The sequence below is a fragment of the Homo sapiens genome, chromosome 7, assembly GCF_000001405.40.
Source record: "Homo sapiens chromosome 7, GRCh38.p14 Primary Assembly".
Taxonomy (NCBI): Eukaryota; Metazoa; Chordata; class Mammalia; order Primates; family Hominidae; genus Homo; species Homo sapiens.
Window position 1 is genome coordinate 103,322,152 of NC_000007.14, and position 15,013 is coordinate 103,337,164.

Genomic DNA, 15,013 nt, shown 5'->3' on the forward strand with positions numbered 1-15,013 from the left:
ATTTAAACTTTTAATAAATTATATTAGGAAAAAAGGCAACATAAACTTATTGAAAACTGAAGGATGAACTCGGAAAGACAGCTGGTAAAGATCTATAAACATTTATTAGAAAATGTAAAATTGACATATTAGAAATAAGCATAATATTAAAGGAACTTATGACACAATTTTTTGCTCAATAAAAACGTGCTGGTAAGGAAGATCTCTCAATTATACCAACTGGTCATGATTCATTCACAGTAGCACCCAATTCTCTGCTTTCGAATTATAGTTTTTTTTAAAAAAAGATGTGAAGATTAAAGTGAAGATTAAAGATTTCATAAACATTTAAAGTCCACCTTCATTAAATGTTGTCTTACTTTTTCTTTAGCTTCTTGCTCCTTCCGTTTAGCTTCTGCTTTTGCTTTCTTTTCTGCTTCTTTCTTGGCTTTTTCTTCTTCCTTGAACTTTTTTATCCTTGGATCACAGCTGTATGCATTGTCTAGCAAAAGAAAAAGTTAATCTCATTTTGAATTTCTAACATTTAGGGGACTTAAATCAATTCTACTTACCAACTAATGTTCTTATTCTGTTCATTTCTTCTTTTTTTCTTTGTGCTCTTGTTGCTCTGTTCTGCTTTTCAATCCATCTCCTCTCATCACGACTATAAAATAGAAAATATTGGAAACAAACTACTGCTTATAGATGCTATGACTGGAAAATGCAATATTTTATAAAATATTTATATGTACATAACATCCTAGAGGTTAAAATGCTGTGTCATTACTAACATTAAACAATGATTTTTTTTTTTTTGAGACAGACTTTTGCTCTTGTCGCCCAGGCTGGAGTGCAATGGCGTGATTTTGGCTCATTGCAACCTCTGCCTCCCAGGTTCAAGTGAGTCTCCTGCCTCAGCCTCCGGAGTAGCTGGAATTACAGGTGCCTGTCACCATGCCTGGCTACTTTTTCTATTTTTAGTAGAGACAGGGTTTCGCCATGTTGGCCAGGCTGGTCTCGCACTCCTGACCTCAGGTGATCTGCCCGCCTCAGCCTCCCAAAGTGCTAGGATTACAGGAATGAGCCAGCACGCCCGGCCTAAACAGTGGTTCTATTTAATATTAATTTTGGTTATTTTTTGCACATTCATGTCAAAAGCATTTCTGCACACATACAAAAAAAAAATTAATAAAACCTAGGTTAAGCAACCAGAAGAAAAAGATTTTGCTGAACTGAGCTATCTGACATTATATTCCTTGGCAATTTCTTAAGCATATCCTAACCAATTATTGATCTGGGCCCACCTAGTTTAACTTGTGAGAAAGGATTTCAAAATATTAAAAAATTGTTTAAAAAAGATGTACAAAGAGAAAATATGAAAGAAAATTTACGTGACAATTTTTACATCATCACAAATACCAGAGAACCAAATAAATACCTTCCATTATTAATGATTTGCATACATACCATTCTGCTTTTTCTTTTTCTTCTTCATCTAAATAAGAAAATTCTCTCCAAGAATCAAAATTATACCTAATATAGACAGAAATAATACATGATCAAGACAGAATAAATGAAAAAAAATTCTTTTTAATGCAAGTGAATGAATTTGTTTTAATGGATACCTTTCCTTCCCTTCTAGTATTGAACTAAGGTCAAGTCTTTCTCCTTTTTTAAGGACATTGCATTTGGTATGAAAATCTAAAATGCACATATCACTCCATAATCAAAACCACACCGCCCTGCTATCTCTTCTTTGTTAGGTTTTTCGCTTGACCAAGACCTATTTTTAAGTTTTCCTTGCCTTCAATTTCGCTAGTCTGTCAAGTCTGAAGGTAACCCTAGTAGTGGTTATCTCATCTCCAGTTTGTATCCTCTGAAGGTAAAAGCAATTACAACTGATAGAACTAAATCTTGTTATTTTTGTTCTATGTGATTTTATGTTTTTGTATTTACTAGACATTTGATGAGAAAATGTAGCACATATAAAATGGCCACTAACTATTGCGCATATTAAAAATTAGTGAATTAGTTACAGAGACAAATAGCACTGTCTCCTTCCTCATGAACTCAAGTACTTTTAGTAGGAAGTAACTAAATAAAAATGTACTTATTTTTATTCAAATGACTCCCCAATTTTCATTTTTTACTACTATCATGTGCTTGATATCTAGAAATCTCATTAATAGAAAATCTTAAAAGTGTAAATATCACATAGGTAACAGAGTGCTTTTGTTCAGTGAAGGTTCTGCAATTTGTCCATCTGAATTAATTTATAAACAATCAAGTACTTATTGAATACTTTTCCTTTTAAAAAATGACAGCATCATACAAACAGTATATTCACTTACCAGAAAGAATAAAATATATCTACATCTTCAAATGATGAATTCATATCACCAAGTTTAGGAACATTTTTTTTATTTGACCATCTGAAATATCAAAGGAAATATTCTTACAATTCTTCAAAAATTATGTACAACAGTTCAACAAACAATTTAATTTATTAAAAACAATAATTTTTACTAATTCCTCTGATTTCCCTTCCCTACAAACTCTACAACTCGAAGATGGAGCTGGAAGGTCAGCAGTGGGGCATGAAACAATGCAGGTGTGCGAAAAGTGAGGCCAAAGATAGACTGGGGTGAGGAGAGAAACAACGGGACAGACTTCTAATCACAGGTTATCTTCAGTTCTATAAAATACAATGCCATAGCAGCTGCTAGGCAGGCTAGAAAAAATGGCAGCTAGCCCCTTTTGCCAAGCTCCTGTCCCTAAATAGTCAGCACAACAACAACCTGTAGGCCTAGCCCTTTAAAAATGTTAATATTCACAGAGGGAACTAATTTCCACCTCATCACCACCACCACCTTCCCCTTAGAGCCAGATTTCTCGGCTCAGCACTTCATTGATCACTGGTGAAAAGGATCCTGAAGCAGCTACTGATCCATGTTTTCTACTCTGTGAAATCATTACACAGAAAAATATACTACTACTTTTTACCACCTCAGCACTGCTATAAAACAAACGTGGCCAGGCGCGGTGGCTCATGCCTGTAATCCCAGCACTTTGGGAGGCCGAGGCCAGCGGATCACCTGAGGCCAGGAGTTTGAGACCAGTCTGGCCAATATGGTGAAACCCCGTCTCTACTAAAAATACACAAATTAGTGGTGGCAGATGCCTGTAGTCCCAGCTACTCAGGAGGCTGAGGCAGGAGAATTGCTTGAACCTGGGAGGCAGAGGTTGCGGTGAGCCGAGATTGTGCCACTGCACTCCAGCCTTGGCAAGAGAGCAAGATACTGTCTCAAAATAAAAAAGGAAAAAAAAAAAACCAAAAAACAGGTGAAATCCAAGGGAGAAAGGATGGCGGAAATACTAGGTGGCGCCAAACCGCTAATCAAAGTGGTTCTCAAATTTGGCTGCACAGAAGAATCACCTGGGAGCCTTAAAAATCCCCACAGAAATTCAAACCAATAAATCAGAATCTTTCCAGGTGGAACTCAGGCATCAGGAGTTCTTCCTGTTCTCCAGGTAATTCCAATGTGCAGCCAAGATGTGCTTTAAGGGAACCTGCCAATGCAGATGGAAAAAAAAGATGTAAAATAATATTGGTACATAACTATTTTAAAACAAACTTTAATGAAATAAAATACGTATGCTTTAATCGTAACTATAAATAATGTTTTGTCAAAGAAGCCTTATGATAATCAGATGATCAAATAAAGAACAAAGGATTTCTCAACTGACAATGAGTCAGAGAGTAGTATACCGATTGATAAAGAGGAAATCAAAGAATGGAAAATTACTGTCACCTAAGTGTAAGAATCACACTATAAAAGTCAGATACTGTTATTTCTCTCAAAGCAAAATTTTTTTTTTTTGAGATGGAGTCTTGCTCAGTGTAGTGGCATGACCTCGGCTCACTGCAACCACTGTCTCCTGGGTTCAAGCAAAACTCCCGTCTCCGCCTCCCGAGGAGCTGGGATTACAGGCATGCACCTCCACGGCCAGCTAATTTTTGTATTTTAGTAGAGACAGGGTTTCACCATGTTGGCCAGGCTGGTCTTGAACTCCTGACCTCAGGTGATCCGTCCACCTCGGCCTTCCAAAGTGCTGGGATTACAGGTGTGAACCACTGTGCCCAGCCCAAGTAAATTTAAAAGAGAAACTTCCCATAAATTGTACAGAAATTTTACTATGGAAATGTAGAACTTCTGTTTAGAAAGCAATATAAATGAGAACAGTAAGTTCACCAGAAGGGCTGAATATTGCAGAGAAGGAGGAGGAGGAGGAAGAGACAGTGGAAATAATCTATAAATGAAACTATTATCAGAGGGAAAGAGCAGAAACCTGGAAGACTACAATAAACAAGCCAACAGGGCACTATGATCAAAAGGGATGCCTTAACTTACCTGGAATTCCTTTCAAACACTGGGGTAAACACTTCGAAGAAATTATCCTTTGCTTCACTTTTAGAAGGAACTGAGTTATCAAAAGTAGGATCTACACTGTTAAATGCTCGTCTTTTCACTGGATCAGATAACATTTCATAAGCTGAGAAAAAAATTGTTAAGATCACATCACCATAACTTTACCTATTTTTTCCTGCAAGAAAACAAGTATTTCCCTCCTTAAAACATAGAAGTCATTAATTTTCATATTTGAAAATTTTGTTTGCAGGTTGGGGAGGATTTAATTTAGGTAACAACAGCTTTAGCACTACTGGATATAACTGGACTTAACTCCTTCTTTATTTTTCTAGTAGACAAGTGACAAAACAATAAATATCACCCACCCCTCAAGAGAAAAGATGACTCTGGGGAAAAAGAAATAGCTAGTAAGTTAATTGTTAGATCCCAAGGTTGTAAAAGATCGAAGGATCTTAGGCTTCTGGAGCACTGTGTAAGAGAACTGGCAAAGAGTAAATATGAACGGTGTGCATACAACTGTTCAAAAATTAGCATCAAAGTGTAAAATCACATTTAAGGAAACATTTAGAAATGGTGGTAACCTACATTAATTTGCTTAGTGATGTGTATGTAAATAGCAATAAGTAACTGTAGGGTCTGTACTAGGATATAATCAACTTCTTGATTTAAACTAGGCTAGCAAAACATCTAAGGAACAGTTTAGTCCCATAAAGCATCTGAAACGAAAAAAAAAAAAATCTTAGTATTCTCATCATTAAATAGAACACTTACATGAATTAACTGTAGGATGAGCTTCTGATAAGAATCACCTGGGGATCCTGTTAAAATGCAGATTTTAATCAGTAGGTTTGGGGCAGGGCCTGAGACTGCATTTCTAATAAGCTGCCAGGTGTTGCTGATGCTGCTGGCTGGGGACACCTCACTTTGTGTCGTGAGGCTCTGGGGTGATGATTAGAAAGAACTTGATATAACTAAAATGTTTTAAAATGTCAAAGGATAGTTGAATGAACTACAGTATGCATAAGAAACCCAATCCCAGCAATTAATAAATAACAATTACTATTAGAAATTCCTGACTCTAAAGCATTTTCTTACCTTTAGTTATGCAAGTGAAGTAGTCATTATCTCCTTCTTTTATTGGTTCACCAGCTGCTTTCCGTTTGTCTGGGTGATGTTTTAAAACCATTGCTTTATCTACAAAACCAGTCAGATTGAGATAATTTGTCACTTTAAGCACCAAAAATAAAGATGAGCTACATGTAGACCATTTCTAAAATCATAAGGCTAATATTAGAATCTTTTCTCCCACAGTAAAATATATGCTTATTCAATGTGAAAATTATAGAGAAACTGATTTATTTCTTCTTATTATTTTTTGAGACAGAGTTTTGCTCTTGTTGCCCAGGCTGGAGTGTAATGGCACGATCTCGGCTCACTGCAACCTCCGCCTCCCGGGTTCAAGCGATTCTCCTGCCTCAGCCTCTGGAGTAACTGGGGTTACAGGTGCCCGCCACCATGCCCAGCTATTTTTTTGTATTTTTAGTAGAAACAAGGTTTCACTATGTTGGCCAGGCTGGTCTCAAACTCTTGACCTCAGGTGATCCACCCGCCTCGGCCTCCGAAAGTGCTGGGATTACAGGTGTGAGCCACTGAGCCCGGCTTGAAGTAATTATTTTAAGAATTAGCCAAAGTGCCCCTAACCAACGACAATGACTCTTAACATTTTGGTGTATTTCTGCATAGACATTTTTGTTTTCTTAAGCATATGCTTTAAAAAATTCAGGTGTAGGCTGGGCATGGTGGCTCATGCTTGTAATCCCAGCACTTTGGGAGGCCGAGCTGGGAGGATCACTTGAGGTCAGGAGTTCAAGACTAGCCTGGCCAATATGGCAAAACCTGGTTTCTACTAAAAATACAAAAACTAGCTGGGCGTGGTGGTGCATGCCTGTGGTCCCAGCTACTCAGGTGGCTCAGACATAAGAATCGCTTGAACCCATGAGGTGGAGGCTGCAGTGAGCTGAGATGGCGCCACTGCATTCCAGCCTGGGTGACAGAGTGAGACTCTGTGTCAAAAAGAAGAAGAAGAAAAAAACAATTCAGATGTAATCGTATGTACTAATTTATATTCTGCTTTCTTCAGCTTCACATTATAGCGTTTGCATTTTCCATGGTTTTTTCCTTGCAAACTCTTCAAATTTTTCTTTCAAATGACTGCTTAATACAGTATTTCAAGTAGATTTGTTATAATTTAGGCATTTCTCTACTGTTGGACATTTGTGCCATTTCCAATTTTGCATTATTATAAATAATGCCAATTTGAATAATTTTAAATGTAAGTGTTTTTCCTTATTTAGGATTCTTTCTTCTTAGGATATAATCACAGAAGTGAACTTCATGAATGGAAATGGAACAAGTTATTTTCCAAAAGGCAAACTATTTCATACTCCTACGTGAACATCCTTTTACCACAGCCTCAGCCACAGTACGTCTAATTATTTAAAATTTGTGATTATCGCTGGTGGTCAACAATTTTTTTGTTTTTCATCCTTTAACTGGAAAAAGGAGGGGCTGTCTCAGTTTTTCTTCTGACTCTGTGTGTCACTTACAATTAATAATGCTAGCTGTTAACATCTACATAGCAGTTGACATGTGCCAGGCCTGTTTACCAGTTAATCTTCTCCATGATCCTATGAGGAAAGTGCTATTGCTGTCTCCATTTCATAGATGAGGAAAATGAGGCACAGAGGAGACGTTATGTAGCCACTACCACTGCAACTTGCTCAAACTTCCGGCCAAGTCGGCTCTAGTCCAGACAGCCTGACTCCTCAGCCTGCGTCTGTATGCTGCCTCTCCTAATTCATTATGTTTATTAATAATTTTTCCCCGTTTTGTTAACACTTATGTTTCAAAAACAGTCATCTTTATTTACATTGACTGATCATTTCTTTTGTAATTTCTTCTAGTACTTACAATAGTTCTAGTTTCATTAACATTTCCTATAGACTGAAAAAATTTTTTAATCTTTTTGGAATTTTAATATAGTCAAGAAAGTATCTAAACTTCTCATTTTTCAAAATCTTACTGTCATTTAATAATCCTTCCCTTTTCCACTGATTTGTGACACTATAATAGTAAATTTTACAAGGGCTTGTTTTGGTTACTTATTCTTGCCCTGGGGTTATCTTTAAACTGACCACAGCTTTCTAATATATTTGATCGTAACTTCCAAAAACTGTGTAATTTTTGCTTATTTGTCTTGCATCTAGTCACTTAACTCTCTTTTGCTTTTCTAGGCAGATCCTATATTATCTACAAATAATATATTTATTTCCTTCTTTCCAATAGTTGTCTCTTATTTAATAACTTAACTCACTGACCCAAACTCCCAAAATAGCATAAAAAATAAAAAGCAGGCTGCTTCACCCCTGGATTTTAGGTAATAGCATTAATGCCACATAGCTAAAAGTTTGCTAGCTGTGGGCCTGAAACAGTTATCAAAGTAGGGAATTAACTACATTTCTTTTCAAAATTCTTATCAAAACGGAATGGGTGTTAAACTGTATTCTATGTGCTTTCACTACCTACTCAGGAAATCACATGGATTTAATATTATCTGAGCTATAATTTTGCTATATTAATATACTTCCTAAGTTGGATTCCTGAGAGAAACTCTATGTGTTCATGAACACTATTATTCTTTTAGTGTACTATTAAATTGCATTTGTTATTTTATTTTTTTTTTTGAGACAGGGTCTCACTCTGTTGCTCAGGCTGGAGCACAGTGGCACCCAATCTCAGCTCACTGTAGTCTTAACCTCCCCGGCTCAGGTGATCCTCCCACCTCAGCCTCCCAAGTGGCTGGGATTACAGGTGCTCTCCACCATGCCTTGCTAACTTTATTTATTTATTGAGATGGAGTTTTGCTCTTGTTGCCCAGGCTGGAGTGCAGTGGCACAGTCTCAGCTCACTGAAACCTCCGCCTCCTGGGTTCAAGAGATTTCCTGCCTCAGCCTCCTGAGTAGCTGGGATTACAGCCATGTGCCACTACGCCCGGCTAATTTTTATATTTTTAGTAGAGACAGGGTTTCACCATGTTGGCCAGGCTGGTCTCGAACTCCTGACCTCGTGATCTGCCCACCTCAGCCTCCCAAAGTGCTGGGATTACAGGTGTGAGCTATCACACCCAGCTCTTTTTTTTTTTTGTAGGGGAGGGGTTTCGTCATGTTGGCCAGGCTGGTCTTGAACTCCTGGGCTCAAGCGATCCTCCCACCCTGGCCTCCCAAAGTGCTAGAATTACAGGCCTGCGCCACCACGCCTGACCACTATTTTTTCATGATACAAGTATCTGTACACACTTATGGGGTGCATGTGATTATTTTGTTCATAATACATGAACAAAATCCATTTTTTTTTTTTGAGATGGAGTCTCACTCTGTTGGCCAGGCTGGCATGCAATGGCACAATCTTGGCTCACTGCAACCTCCACCTCCTGGGTTCCAGCGATTCTCCTGTCAGCCTCTGGAGTATCTGGGATTACAGGCACCTGCCACCACGCTCAGCTAATTTTTGTATTTTTAGTAGAGACAGGGTTTTGCCATGTTGGCCAGGCTTGGTCTTGAACTCCTGACCTCAAGTGATCCGCCTGCCTCGGCCTCCCAAAGCGCTGGGATTACAGGCGTGAGCCACTGTGCCTGGCTCATTTTGTGCATAATTCATGATACATGCATAAACCACGTAATGATCAAGTCAGGGTATTTGGGTATCTATCAACTTGAGTGTTTATTATTTCTATGTATTGTGAACATTTCAAGTTCTGTCTTCTAGCTATTTTGAAATATACAATACATCATTGTTAACTATCATCACCCTACTCTGCTACAGAACACTGGGACTTATTCCTTCTAATTGTATGTTTGTATCCATTGACCAACCTCTCTTTATCCCTCTCCTCCCAATACCCTTCTCAGCCTCTGGTATCTATCATTCTATCTACTACCTCCACGAGATCAACTTTTTAAGCTCCCACTGTTCTCAAGAGTGAGAACATGCAATATTTGCCTTTCTGTGCCTAGCTTATTTCACTCAACATAATGACCTCCAGTTCCATCTATATTTCTGCAGACGTTTCATTCTTTTTTATGGCTGAGTGGTATCCCATTGTATACATATACTTTTCTTTATCAACTAGTCTGCTGATGGACACTTAGGTTGATTCCTTATCTTTGTTATTATAAACAGAGCCACAATAAAAACATGGGAGTGCAGGTACCCCTTTGACATACTGTTTTCTTTTCCTTTGGATAAATATCCAGTAGTGGGAACGCTGGGCTATATGTTAATTCTATTTTTAATTTTTTGAGAAATCTCCATACTAATTTGCACAGTGGCTATGCTAATTTAGATTCCTACCAACAGTGTATAAAAATTCCCTTTTCTTAAATTTGCTATTTTTTTTTTTTTTTGAGGCGGAGTCTTGCTCTGTCACCCAGGTTGGAGTGCAGTGGTGCAGTCTTGGCTCACTGCATGCTCTGCCTCTCGGGTTCATGCCATTCTCCTGCCTCAGCCTCCCGAGTAGCTGGGACTACAGGCACCCGCCACCACGCCTGCCTAATTTTTTTGTATTTTTAGTAGAGACGGGGTTTCACCGTGTTAGCCAGGATGGTCTCGATCTCCTGACCTCATGATCCGCCCGCCTTGGCCTCCCAAAGTGCTCGGATTATAGGCGTGAGCCACTGCACCCAGCGAATTTGCTATTATTTTTAACATTTTAACTGGTTTTTCTTTTTCATTATATTAATAGGAATTGTTTGTAGGATTTTTTGGGCTCTCTTTGCTAGGTTTTGCATACTCAGATTACATTAAACTTTACAACTTAACAAAATGAATTATTCCAAAACAGTTTATGATTAACCGATTCTCCAATTACAAAATAAAACACCAAGTTTATATTCAGCATTAGAATTTTTAATTCTTTAACACTTGAAACAATTCACCTGAAAAATTATCTGGGCCTAAAAATTGTTTTTAGGAGTAAATTCTTTGGTAACTTTAATGTTTTTCATCCTTTTTTTTTTGCGGGGGAGGGGATGGGGACAGGGTCTTACTATTGCTCAGGGTGGAGTGCAGTGGTGTGATCACGGCTCACTGCAGCCTTGACCTCCTGGGCTCAAGCACTATCTCAGCCTTCTGAGCAGCTGGGACCACAGGCACGCACCACTATGCCCAGCTAATTTTTGTATTTTTTGTAGAAATGGGGTTCTGCCATGTTGCCCAGGCTAGTCTTGAACTACAGAGCTCAAACAATCCACCCACCTCAGCCTTCTAAAGTGCTGGGATCAAAGGCATGAGCCACCATGATTAGCTCTTTCTGTATTTCACTACGTTTTGAGTATCCTGTATCTGAAATGCTTGGGACCAAAAGTGTTCGGGATTTCAAATTTTTTTAGATTTTGGAATATCTGCATTATACTTACTGGGTGAGCATCCATTCCAAATCTGAAAAGCCAAAATCCTCCAGTGAACATTTCCTTTGAAGTGTCATGCTGGCACTCAGAATTTGGAGCATTTTGGACTTTGGAGTTTTGGATTAGGGATGCTCAACTTGTATTTGTTTATTCTTCTTATAAAACCCAGTTTGGGATACTGTCTTATTTATTTTCTTCCTACATCTTCCTTTGTGCTATTCTTTTAAACCTCTGAATTGAATTTCCACCTTATCTTTTCCCTCTTTTGAAAAAAGTAACAGAATAGGTTAAGGCAATGAATTTACTTAAGGTACAGATTTAGCTGCCAGTCCTTAAGTTTTGATAAAGCAGTAATCTTACTTTTGTGGAAAAAAAGTCTATTAGCATAATTTTTATTTCTGTCTAGGCTCAAAAGAATATATTTAATTTCCAAGTGACTGGTATTTTTGGTTTGTTTAATCATATCTGTCTGATTCAGCGGAGATAAAACGTAGATAAAATAAATGCCCAGATTTTAAGCATTCATTAAGTTCAGTGAGTTCTGACAATCATATACACTTATGTAACTACTATCCAAAGGAAAATATAGGCCGTTTCCATCATCCAAAAAGTTCCCTTGTACCCTTTTCCACTGGGCTCCCATCCTCTACCAGCTGAGGCAACCGTTTTCTGATGCCTGTCACCACTTTTGCATGTTCTTGAGCTTCAAGTAGATGTAACTTACAGTATGCCTATGTCTGGCTTCTTTTACTCATGGTTTGAGATTCATCCATGTTTTTCTGTGTATTGGCAATTTGTTCTTTTAAAAATTGCTGATTAGTATTCCACTGCACCAAAATATATAGCAGTTTGCTTATCTATTTCCATGTTATTAAATATTTGGGTGATTTCCAGTTTCTGGACATTGTGAATAGGCTGTTGTGAACATTTTTTTTTTTTTTTTTGAGACGGAGTCTCGCTCTGTTGCCCAGGCTGGAGTGCAGTGGCGTGATCTCAGCTCACTGCAAGCTCCACCTCCCGGGTTCACGCCATTCTGCTGCCTCAGCCACGCGAGTAGCTGCGACTACAGGTACCCGCCACCACGCCCAGCTGATATTTTTGTATTTTTAGTAGAGATGGGGTTTCACCGTGTTAGCCAGGATGGTCTCGATCTCCTGACCTCGTGATCCGCCTGCCTTGGCCTCCCAAAGTGCTGGGATTACAGGTGTGAGCCACTGTGCCCGGCCTGTTGTGAACGTTTTTGCAGAAATCTTTTGGCTGGGCACGGTGGCTCATGCCTGTAATCCCAGCACTTTGGGAGACTGAGGCAGGTGGATCACTTGAACTCAGGAGTTCGAGACCAGCCTGGTCAACGTGGTGAAACCCAGTCTCTACTAAAAAATACGAAAATTAGTCAGACATGTTGGCAGGTGCCTGTAATCCCAGCTACTTAGGAGGCTGAGGCAGAAGAATGAGGCAGGAGAACCACTTGAACCCTGGAGATGGAGGTTGCAGTGAGCCAAGATCACGCGACTGCACTCCACCCTGGATAACAGTTAGACTCCGTCTTAAAAAAAAAAAGAAAAGAAATCTTGAAAAAAAATTTTTTTAATTAAAAAAAAAAAAGAGAGACAAGGTCTTGCTATGTTGTCCAGGTTGGTCTTGAACTCCTGAGCTCAAGTGATCCTCCAGCCTTAGTCTCCCACAGTGCTAGGATTAACAGGGATGAGCCACCATGCTTGGCCTATAGAAATCTTTTCATGAGCATAATAAAATTATTTATTTCAACATATACTGCAAGGGTTCAGAAACAGTGACAAATATTTTTGGTATTTTTTTGGGCATTTTTTGAGGCAGTTTCCCTCTGTCACCCAGGCTGGAGTGCAATGGTGCAATCTCGGCTGGCTGCAACCTCTGCCTCCCAGTTTCAAGCGGTTCTCGTGCCGCAGCCGCCCAAGTAGCTGGGATTACAGGCATGCGTCTCCATGCCCGCCTAATTTTTATATTTTTAGTAGAGACGGGGTTTCGCCATGTTGGCCAGGCTGGTCTCGAACTCCTGACCTCAGGTGATCCACCTGCCCCAGCCTCCCAAAGTGCTAGGATTACAAGTGTGAGCCACCGCACCCGGCTCCTACTTCACACTTAATTAATTTTCATTACTGACATTCAAAATATACTCAACAAAAATAAAACTTTGCTTGTAATATGAAGCAAGCATTCAAAGGACATCAAATGGTACCAGATTTACATTTTTATTAGGTTTGTGCTAATAATTATAGATTTGCAAACAGTAACTTTGCATTTTAACTTTTAGATAGATTTTCAGAAAGCAATGAGTAGCAACTGTGTTTTACAGTGACAGAGGTGAGAGAATGACAGTTTCTTTCTAAATAAAGACTGACGGAATATTCCACAAGGGTGGTAGAGAGTAAGTTAGAATTACCCTTATTGTTAACAATCTCTACACTGGTGCTGCAAAATTTTTGGCTAGAGAATACATATTCAAAAGCTGAATTTCTTTTCTTTCTTTCTTTCTTTTTTTTTTTTTTAATGAGACAGAGTCTCACTCTCTCACTCTGTTGCTCAGGTTGGACTGCAGTGGTACAATCTTCGCTCACTGCAACTTCCGCCTCCCAGGTTCAAGCGATTCTCATGCCTCAGCCTCCCAAGTAGTTGGGCTTACAGGCATGCGCCACCGCACCTGGCTAATTTTTGTATTTTTAGTAGAGATGGGGTTTCACCACATTGGCCGGGCTAGTATTGAACTCCAGCCTCAAGTAATCTGCCTGCCTTGGTCTTCCAAAGTGTTGGGATTACAGGTGTGACCCACTGTGCCTGGCTAAAAATCAATTTCTACAAGGCCAATAAAAAGAGTGGATTTAGGCTGGGTGCGGTGGCTCACGCCTGTAATCCCAGCATTCTGGGAGGCCGATGTGGGTGGATCACCTGAGGTCGGGAGTTCGAGACCAGCCTGACCAACATGGTGAAATCCCGTCTCTATGAAAAATACAAAATTAGCCGGGCGTGGTGGCACATGCCTCTAATCCCAGCTACTCAAGAGGCTGAGGCAGGAGAATCGCTTGAACCTGGGAGGCGGAGGTTGTGGTGAGCCAAGATGGTGCCATTGCACTCCAGCCTGCGCAACAAGTACGAAATTCTGTCTCAAAAAAAGACAGTGGATTTAACAGAAGCATATGAATGCTTCTTTTACAATTTATTGCACATTTTTAATCTTCTGAGAAAGAATTCTTTCACCTTAAAACACAAACTATTCTCACAGTTCTATTATCAATTCTAATTAACAAATTTATCTGTACTAAGACATATTTGGTATTTGTATGCTATTCTATTTTTTCGGAAACAGAGTGTCGCTCTTGTTGCCCAGGCTGGAGCGCAATGGTGCGACCTCGGCTCACTGCAACCTCTGCCTCCTGGGTTCAAGCAATTCTCCTGCCTCAGCCTCCCAAGTAGCTGGGAATACAGGTGCCCACCACCACACCCAGCTAATTTTTTTGTATTTTTAGTAGAGACGGTGTTTCTCCACGTTGGCCAGGCTGGTCTCATATTCCTCACCTCAGGTGATCAACCCGTCTCGGCCTCCCAAAGTGTTGGGATTATAGGCGTGAGCCACCACGCCCGGCCAATGCTATTCTTTCGTATAGTAAAACTTTGCAAACACTTGTACGTGGCAAATGGACTTTTCTGGCATTTATTTATACTGGAATAACTATTCACATGCATTACCATATGCTTTGTCTAGACTCATGCCAGCCTTTAAACAAATCCAGTTTAAAATAATCTGATAAATTCCTTCACTTTGTTAAAAAATATTTCCTGTGATTTTCCTAAATGTAAGCAGTAATGGGGACGATTTTGAGTTCATCTACTATGCTAAGTATTGACTAATAATTTTTACCACAGGCATTCTTATTCAGTCATCTTCCTCCACATATAATACTTCCTCTTCTTGACAGGCCCTGACTCCCTGCTCCTTTTCCATGTGGCCACAATCTTACCCTCTCTGACCTCAATATCCATTCTCTAGAGTGGAGGGCAGAACATTCTCCTAAGATAGAAAACTGATCACCTTCACCTCTTACCTCTTTCACTAAACTTTATTAATCAGTTGAACTGATCACGTGTATAAGAAATTATGTCCAC

General features: G+C 39.3%; 2 protein-coding genes across 9 annotated transcripts in view; one reads left to right on the forward strand and one right to left on the reverse strand.

Annotated features, from left to right (window-relative positions):
* The window catches only part of PMPCB (peptidase, mitochondrial processing subunit beta), a 50,108-nt gene that overhangs the window by 24,717 nt on the left and 10,378 nt on the right, over nucleotides 1-15,013 (forward strand). Inside the window, exons 13-14 of one of the 3 annotated variants that reach the window (XM_006716181.5) lie at nucleotides 6,780-6,891; nucleotides 7,134-7,751. In XM_006716181.5, the coding sequence (XP_006716244.1) occupies nucleotides 6,780-6,891; nucleotides 7,134-7,137 (116 nt within the window). In that variant the 3' untranslated portion in view covers nucleotides 7,138-7,751. Of the gene's footprint in view, nucleotides 1-6,779; nucleotides 7,752-15,013 lie in introns of those variants that run through there. The other 2 variants (XM_047421050.1, XM_005250717.4) reach the window with 2 other exon arrangements.
* Nucleotides 1-15,013, reverse strand: part of DNAJC2 (DnaJ heat shock protein family (Hsp40) member C2) — a 32,479-nt gene that overhangs the window by 9,863 nt on the left and 7,603 nt on the right. For 3 of the 6 annotated variants that reach the window (NM_001362667.2, NM_001129887.3, NM_014377.3), the window contains exons 4-9: nucleotides 5,505-5,603; nucleotides 4,392-4,533; nucleotides 2,331-2,411; nucleotides 1,447-1,512; nucleotides 552-643; nucleotides 360-481 (exon numbers count right to left, since the gene is read on the reverse strand). In NM_001362667.2, the coding sequence (NP_001349596.1) occupies nucleotides 360-481; nucleotides 552-643; nucleotides 1,447-1,512; nucleotides 2,331-2,411; nucleotides 4,392-4,533; nucleotides 5,505-5,603 (602 nt within the window). Of the gene's footprint in view, nucleotides 1-359; nucleotides 482-551; nucleotides 644-1,446; nucleotides 1,513-2,330; nucleotides 2,412-3,415; nucleotides 3,532-4,391; nucleotides 4,534-5,180; nucleotides 5,228-5,504; nucleotides 5,604-15,013 lie in introns of those variants that run through there. The other 3 variants (NM_001362668.2, XM_011516030.3, XM_047420191.1) reach the window with 3 other exon arrangements.